General features: G+C 50.6%; 1 protein-coding gene across 3 annotated transcripts; it reads right to left on the bottom strand.

The window, feature by feature from the left end:
* Window positions 1-817: 817 nt before the first annotated feature.
* On the bottom strand, window positions 818-7,498 carry GPX7 (glutathione peroxidase 7). 3 transcript variants are annotated; one of them, XM_047418560.1, is made up of 3 exons: window positions 6,274-7,498; window positions 2,924-3,185; window positions 818-1,607 (listed from the first exon to the last, which is right to left on the bottom strand). In XM_047418560.1, the coding sequence occupies exons 1-3, from the start codon at window positions 6,301-6,303 to the stop codon at window positions 1,444-1,446; spliced, it is 456 nt and encodes a 151-aa protein (XP_047274516.1). In that variant the 5' UTR covers window positions 6,304-7,498; the 3' UTR covers window positions 818-1,443. The 3 variants fall into 3 exon arrangements, with proteins under 3 accessions (XP_047274516.1, NP_056511.2, XP_047274520.1); NM_015696.5 differs by having other exon boundaries at window positions 7,322-7,498; XM_047418564.1 differs by lacking the exon at window positions 6,274-7,498 and adding an exon at window positions 5,731-6,249.
* Window positions 7,499-8,275: the final 777 nt, after the last annotated feature.

Raw genomic sequence — 8,275 nt, 5'->3', positions numbered from 1 at the left:
CAGCAACCTCTGCCTCCCGGATTCAAGCGATTCTCCTGCCTCAGCCTCCAGAGTAGCTGGGATTACAGGCACCTGCCATCATGCCCGACTAATTTTTATATTTTTGTAGAGACGGGGTTTCACCATGTTGGCCAGGCTGGTCTCAAACTCCTGACCTCAGGTGATCCACCCGCCTCAGCCTCCCAAAGTGCTGGGATTACAGGCATGAGCCACTGTGCCCGGTCATGCCAGGCTAATTTTTGTATTTTTATTTTTTTATTTTTATTATTATTATTATTATTGAGACGGAGTCTTGCTCTGTCGCCCAGGCTAGAGTGCACAGGCTGGAGTGCAGTGGCACGATCTCTGCTCACTGCAAGCTCCGCCTCCCGGGTTCACACCATTCTCCTGCCTCAGCCTCCAGAGTAGCTGGGACTACAAGCGCCCGCCACCACGCCCGGCTAATTTTTTGTATTTTTAGTAGAGACGGGGTTTCACCGTATTAGCGAGGTTGGTCTCGATCTCCTGACCTCGTGATCCGCCCGCCTTGGCCTCCCAAAGTGCTGGGATTACAAGCGTGAGCCACCGCGCCCAGCCTAATTTTTGTATTTTTAGTAGAGATGGGTTTTCACCATGTTGGCCAGGCTGGTCTCAAACTCTTGACCTCAGGTGATCCACCTACGTTGGCCTCCCAAAGTGCTGGGATGACAGGCGTGAGCTACCGTGCCCGGTCACTGAGTTCTTATTGGGCAATAATGATTGGCTTAACCAAAGGCCTGGCAGCCTTTGTACCAAACTGCTAACACTGTTTACCTCTAGGGAGGGAGACTATGGAAAATGAGGAGGATACTTTCATTTTTATTTTATATCGTGAGGTATTGTTTGGATTGTTACAATGAACTTGCATTTCTTTTGTAATGAAGAAAATAATACAGAGGAAATAACAACAACTAAACCTTTGGCCTGGATTATCATCGGCTGGAAATTCATGTTGGATGCAAGTTTTTATTGATAACAAGTTATTTTTTGGTTTATATGCAAAAAATGTTCATTGAATGCCTCCTATTTGGCTGGCACTGCCTAGGCACTTTCACAGGTATTTCATCCTAATCCTCACAACAGCCCTATGAGGTAATCATTGGTCCCAGTTTACAGAAGCCTTGGGTGGGAGATTATTGCTTGATATACTTCTATTTGCCACACATTTTTGTTGGCAAGACGTTCGTATCGGCTGGTGATTCACTGGTCAAGAGCTCTCATTGGCCAGGAGTTCCTATTTGTTGCTGTAAGATTCAAATAATCAAAATACTAGAATTTTTCCCCCACAAGAATGATGGGACCAATGGCATAAGAGTAAAGGAAGGAGAGTCAGTGGGTCTCTCCCTTTGAAGCACCATTTGAGTTTGCATTGGTCAGCCCCACACAGGTGGGCGGGATGAGGTGGTGGAGGAGGAGACGCGGTGGTTATAAGTCTTCTCGCTTCAGTAGGATGAGCTTCCTCACGAGCGCTGTGATCTGGGGTCTGACCTCCTCCACTGACACAGTTGGGTCCCAAGCCCCTACCACCTTTCCATCTGGGGCTACTAGGTACTTCCAGAAGTTCCAGGTGGGCTCCTTCCCAGAAGTCTCTAGAGAAAAAGGAAGGAGAGCAAAGCGTGCTACCCTGCGTACCCTCTCCTGGGACTTCACTCTCAGTGTCCATCTTTCCCTGGTGGCAGCTAATCCTGATGCCCAGTCCACACCCCAGACCACTCCAACCAGAATCTCTGAGGGTGAGGCTCAGGCATCAGCATTTTTCAAAAGCCCCCTGGGAGATTCCAAAGTGGGGCCGAGGTTGAGAACGACTGCTGTAGGATTCTGTGACGTGCTTGATAAAGTGGTATCAAATCCTCCTTTATTAATGACTTCGAACTACTGAATAGTCTACACCCTATTCTCTAGTTCAGTTTTAATGGTTTCCAAATGTTAGTCCATGGACTGGTTTCATCAGAATCACTGGGGGTCAGGGGAGTGCTTAAAATAAAGATTCTTGGGCCCTGCTTCAGTAGGTCTCAGCCTTGTGCATTTTTAAGAGCTCCCCAGGTGCTTCTAAAAGCAAGGCCGGGTTTGATCTATAACTGTGAGAACTGGGAAGGAACTAATAAAAGAACACAGAGAAAAAAATCAACATTAGGACTGAGCCACAGAGCAAAACACAAACCTGCCGCAGTAAGGGACCTTTTGTTTGCTGCACTCTTGCTTCTCATTTACTCCTCCAGGTGAATGGGTTGCAGGGTGGGGTGGTGGCAAGGGATACAAAGGCCACCAGAAGCACGGAATCAGAAAAGGCAAAAATGGGGCCTCCAGAGGAGAAGGCCTGAGGGAAGAAATGGTCAGAATGGCAAGCTTAGCCCATGAGCCCATTCTGTGGCTCTGAGGCTTCTGCAGCTGGAGAAGGGATCTTGTTCTCAAATACTAAGATCTGGTATTTTAGCTTAGAAGGTCTCCCTCCATGGCCTACAGACTCCGCCACTGACTCAGGGTGAAGATGCCTGTCTACTATCTTGGTCAGCTTTCTCCAAGCAGGTGGCCTCCCCTGTCTATGCCTTGGTTTCTCCATCATATGTCCATAAACTCATCTAGTTCACACTGACTTAAATGTCTCCTTCTAGGAGCCCCTGAATGTGAAAACAGGATCCCAGAAAAGTCCAAAAGAGTGACTTCTGAGGGACAAGTGAGAGGCAGCAGGTATGGAGATATTCTTAGGCAGGAATACCCCTCAGCTTCTACCTGCCTCCACTCTCCTCAAAGATTAGTGCTGGAACAAAGCATCAGTCCACCTGAGATGATCAGGAAGGGGAAGGGGCCCCAGGTCACCCAACCAGCCAGTGGCTTCTGCTGCCCAGGGAGCCATGGCCTCAGCCAGCTAAGGGAGGTGTGAGGGGATGAAGAGACCAGGACTTACGGGCCAGGTACTTGAAGGCAGGATGGGCACCAGTACCGGTGACTGCAATCTTGCTAAACATGGGGAATGAGACACTGTAGGTGCGGCGGGCAAAGCTCTCAATCTCCTTGTTGCTGTCAGGCTCCTGTTGGCCAAACTGGTTGCAGGGGAAGGCGAGCACGTTAAAGTGGTGGGGGCCCAGGTCTCGCTGCAGCTGCTGCAGGGCTCGGTAGTGCTGGTCTGTGAAGCCGCACTCGCTGGCCACATTCACCACCAGGGACACCTGTATGACAGAAACAAAACAAAACAAAGCCCAGACAAGCCAGTGAAGAGGCATGAACCTGTACATGCCCTGACACATCCACATATGTGACTCCCTCAACAGTTAATACTGCCTCACACATACAAGAACACTGTGTACACATATGTAAATGTGTGTCCAGTGCTCTCACACATACACAAACACATGCACACAGACAGGCACATATGAAATCAAACATTCAGGAGCTTACAGATGTGTGCACACATACATGAACATCTGTGAACATAAGTATACAACATACATAAATAGGTATGCACATGCACCACGATACAAACATGTTAGCAAACACCACACATGCCCACACACACAGCACATCCACAGACTGGGGCACACATACTGGTGAGCACATACTGAGAACTGATAAGAGGGGGTACAAAGGGAGACCTGGGCTCAATTTTTGGCTCAGTCAGCTAGCACTCGCCACTCTGCACTGTGTCAGTCTCCCTTCTAGAATGTGAACCTACTGAGGGCAGGAGCTATGTCCACTTCATCTCTGGGCCTGGCATATGAAAAAGTCTCAGTAAGTTTCAGATGAATGAGTAAGTGTGCACACAAACACAAACGCCTGCATGGGAACATAGACACAGGTTTTCTTGAGAAAAGAACCCTCATAACTCCAGGGCAATCACCTTTTTGTCCCCCTCCTCTCCAGAGAACTAACACCACTTTTGTTGTTGTTGCTGCTGGAGCAATGGCATAATCATAACAGGACATCCCCCCAACCGTTTGCAGTCTCAAACTTCTGAGCTGAAGTGATCCTCCCACCTCAGCCTCTCAAATAGCTAGGACTACAGGCACGTGCCATCACACCTGGCTAATTTTTTAATTTTTACTTTTGGTAGAGACAGTTCTCGCCATGTTGTCCAGGCTGGACTCAAAAACTCTTAGCCTCAGGCAATCCTACCAGCTAAGCCTCTCAAAGTGCTAGGATTACAGTCATGAACCACCATGCCCAGCCTACCACTTTCTTTTATCATTAGACTAATCCTTAAATTTATTAAAGCCTTTAGGCAATAAATACAAAGCTGGCTAATGGAACTTGATTATAAGACTTTGATTAGAATTTTGGCTCAAATGCTATGTTTTTAGCTTCTAGGTATATATTATTAATGGATTTAAAACCCTAGCCGGTGCCTAGGCAGCCTAGCCCTATCCTCCATAATTGACATTTGGGTCAGATAATTCTTTGTTGTCGGGGGGATGTCCTGTTTATTTATTATCAGATGTTTGGCAGCATCCCTGGCCTCTACCCACTAGATGCCCAGTCTTGACAATCAACAATGTCTCCAGACATTGCCAATTGTGCCCTAAAGGGAATAATCACTCCTAGTTGAGAACTACTGGGCTAGATGATTGAACCACTGAGCTGTACCTCCTGTACCCTACCTCCACCAGGTGAGAAAGGACCCATGCCTGGGGCCACTGGCTATTAGAACAACCTCCTCAATTTGAGGTCAGCATACACCATACTGTGCCTGGAATGGTGAGAAACTGGGACTGTTAACTCCCTTCCTCAGTTAGGGTTCTTCCTTTTTTTCCCCCTGCTGGATCCCTGGGCAATGAGAACATTAAAGCTTTTTTTTTTTTTTTTTTTTTTTTAAAGACAGAGTCTTGCTCTGTTACCAAGGCTGGAGTGCAGTGGCGCGATCTTGGCTCACTGCAACCTCCACCTCCCGGGTTCAAGCAATTCTCCTGCCTCAGCCTCCTGAGTAGCTGGGATTACAGGCACACGCCACCATGCCCAGCTAATTTTTGTATTTTTTAAGTACAGACGGAGTTTCACCATGTTGGCCAGGCTAGCCTCGAACTCCTCACCTTGTGATCCACCCGCCTCAGCCTCCTGAAGTGCTGGGATTACAGGCGTGAGCCACTGCGTCCGGCCAAAGCTTGCTTATTTTTAACTCACAACTTGCATGTCTGCCCGCTCTTTTGGAAGGGGGAAAATCTGGCTTCTAGTTCCATCCCTGAAACCAAAAAGCTTGGTCCTTAGAAACCAAAACACAGACAGACACACCCAAGTACACACAGTTAATTTACATATGTACATATACAAGCACAGACACAGACTCAGATTTGTACACAGAAGAAGTAAACCATTCACAAAGGCACACACTACACATAACCCCACACATTCCCAAGTGGTCACCCATTCATCCATACTGGTCTAAATGACTATGGTCCCAATTAGCCTGAGGGCATCAACCATGTCAATCTTGCTCATGACTATGTCATCAGAGCTGGACCCAGTGTCAGACATGTAGTAGGAGCCAGTAAATGTTTGCAGGTGAAGGAATGAGCATATTGCCCAAGCAGCAAGCCTAGCCTGGGTTAACTCAGCACCAATTACAGCTTTTCTGGACTCCCTGTTCCCTGGTTTACTGCTGAACTTGGCAACTAAGAGCATAGACTCTGGAGCTGGACTGTCTGGGTTCAAATTCTTACTGTCTTACTAGCTGTGTGACCTTGTTCTATTTTTGTCTTAGCACTTACTACTACTAGGAATTACCTCGTGCATTTCTCAGTTCCTTGTTTATTGTCTTTCTTCTCCTTACCCCATGTAAGCTCCATTTAGTGGAAATGTATCTGTTTTGTTCACCACTGTATCCCCAGGGCCTGACCTAGTATCTAGTTAGTATACAGTAGGTGTTCAATAATGAACAACGAATTAATAAGTAGCAGAGCTGGTCAGACGCTAAACCTGGGGCTCTCTGGTGAGCTGCCCTAGAGAGAACAGGAGGCCTGAATTGGAGCGGGCCCTGTTCTTGGTTCTTTGCCCAGAGTTCTAAATGAAGTTCCTGCTGGGATCCACCAAACACAGGTGCAAAGCACTCTACAGTTTACTAAGTGCATCCACGCCTTCATCTGATTTGAAACTCACGACACTCTGGGGGACAATCAAGCAGGGATTACTGTCCCCAAGACTCCCAGCATAATCGAAAATTTCAAGGCTTATAGAGTACTGGTCTTCACTAAAGATGGTGTTGCTCCCAGGAGAAAAATGTTGACATCTATTTTTGTGTGGTTCATCCAAAACTGGACGCTGGCCCACCTGTTCATTAGATTTCAACTCCCCAGCCATTTCACACCAGTCCCCAGGTCCATCCTGAAGAGGTCCACTCTGGGAGTTCTTCACTGCACATAATGTGACATGCAGGCCTCTCAATGTAGTGTTCAAGGTCCCGCCTGCTCCCTTGCCAGTCGTTTCAGCCTCATCTTCCACCACTCGTAGCCTCCAGCTTTAGACTCTTTGAAGCACAACAGCTGGAACTCCTGGCCCCGCGCCCCCCCACCCCCTTCTTGCTGTTTGCTTCTTAGTCTTGCTAAAATCCACTCGTATTCAAAGACTCAACCCAGATACCCTTCCTCTCCGAAGTCTTCTCTGAGCTTAGATTCCCTCTTGGTAATGAGGGGGCAATTAGCCTGGATGACTCTTATGTGTGCCCCTGAGCTGCCATCTAAGGACTTGGCCTAGAGAGGACCCCGGATGTGGCGGTGGGGTTCTCTTCCAGGCCCCGTCTTTCTAGTGTAGTGTGACCTTGTGCGAATGCCTGCCCTCTCTGGGCCTTTGTGCCCTCTCCCAGGGATGATCCGTGTGAGGTCTCCGTGCATCTGAAATAACTCTCTCTCTGCCCTGCACATTGATCTCCACAGTGTTCTTCACTGGACTCCGAATCAGCCACTCCCCGTTCCAGATGCAGAAAATGAGGACGGGAGAGGGAAAGGCCGCACGATGCTACGGTTACTTTTTTCACCCGTGAATGGCAAAGGCTGGGCAGTGGTGCCCGGCCTCCCGGCGAAGGTCTGGACCCCGCTGCCCAAAGGTGCCGGTAGCGAAGTGGGCGCCGACTGCGAGCGCTTCGGGTTCCTCCGCGCCAAGGCCGTGCCACGTAGCCGCGGGCCGGGCCGGGCCGGGCGCGGGATGGGGGCGCCGCGCCAGAGGTCACGGCCGAGCGGGGCGGGGGCCGGGGTTTGGCGGCCGCGCGGCTGGAGCGTCCTCGGAGCCACACCGCGCGGGGGACCGGGCTGCGGGGCGTCCCCAGCAGGCCCCGCCAGGGCGAGGCCGGGCCCAGCGGCGCCGCCAGACCCCGCGCACTCACCGATCCGCGGTACTTCTCCAGCGACACCAGTTTGCCCCGGATGTTGACCGCCTTGAAGTCGTAGAAGTCCTGCTCCTGCTGCGCGCAGGCCGCAGCCCACAGGAGCAGCCACGCCGCTGCCACCGTCGCCGCCACCATGGCTTGTTCCGGAGGTGGCGGCGTCGCGAGGGCAAAGACGGGGCGGGGGGATCTAGCGCGGGGGGCGGGAGGAGGCGGCTCTGGCGCCGCTCGGCCCGCAAGGCAGGACGCGCCGCGTTCTCGTTCCCTCCGCAGGCGGTGGATGTCCGGCTCTGGACCTCAGTTTCACCGTCTGTCCTGAGGCAGCGCACCCCTGCCCCGGACCCCAGAGCCAGGGTTTCAGGATTCTGTCCCCTGAGACCGGAGTTCGTTTCAGTGAGGCTCCCTCTTGTCCCAGGAAACAGCGACTTGGCAGGGACAGGGAGGCAAAAATCTGAGAGCTCAGCTTCTCATTAGTGCAGCGGCCTTAGGCTGGCCTGGTCACGCCCCCACTCCGACCTCAGTTTCTCCACATGTTAAGTGGAGCTAGTCGGTATAGGATGGAAGTAATAGAAAAACGGATGCGAAACACTTTAACAGTTGAATGGTGCCTGCAAACTTCAGGTGAATGAATGCATGTTCCCTGAAAGTGATGGCTGGGAGAAGAAGAGAGGACCGTGGGCCTGTTGCAGGTTAGGTTCCTGGAAGCAGATTCTGAGATGGAGATTGGAGTGCAGGATGTTTATGAGGGAGCACCCTTGGGATCAACAGGCGTGGGAAGGATGGGAGGGAACAGGAGTGGCACAGGGGGAAAGTAGTGAGCTCCATGCAGGCCCCAAGACAGTTTTAGCTGACTCGACAGGGACTCTAGAGCTAGAGTAGCCCATCAGATGAGCTAAGATGGCCAGGTCATCCTGCCTTTATCAGTCCTTGGATGTGGGGCCACCTGGCAAGTGG

The sequence above is a fragment of the Homo sapiens genome, chromosome 1, assembly GCF_000001405.40.
Source record: "Homo sapiens chromosome 1, GRCh38.p14 Primary Assembly".
Taxonomy (NCBI): domain Eukaryota; kingdom Metazoa; phylum Chordata; class Mammalia; order Primates; family Hominidae; genus Homo; species Homo sapiens.
The sequence above is the reverse complement of the archived record's forward strand: the minus strand, read 5'-3'. Positions and strand labels throughout refer to the sequence as shown.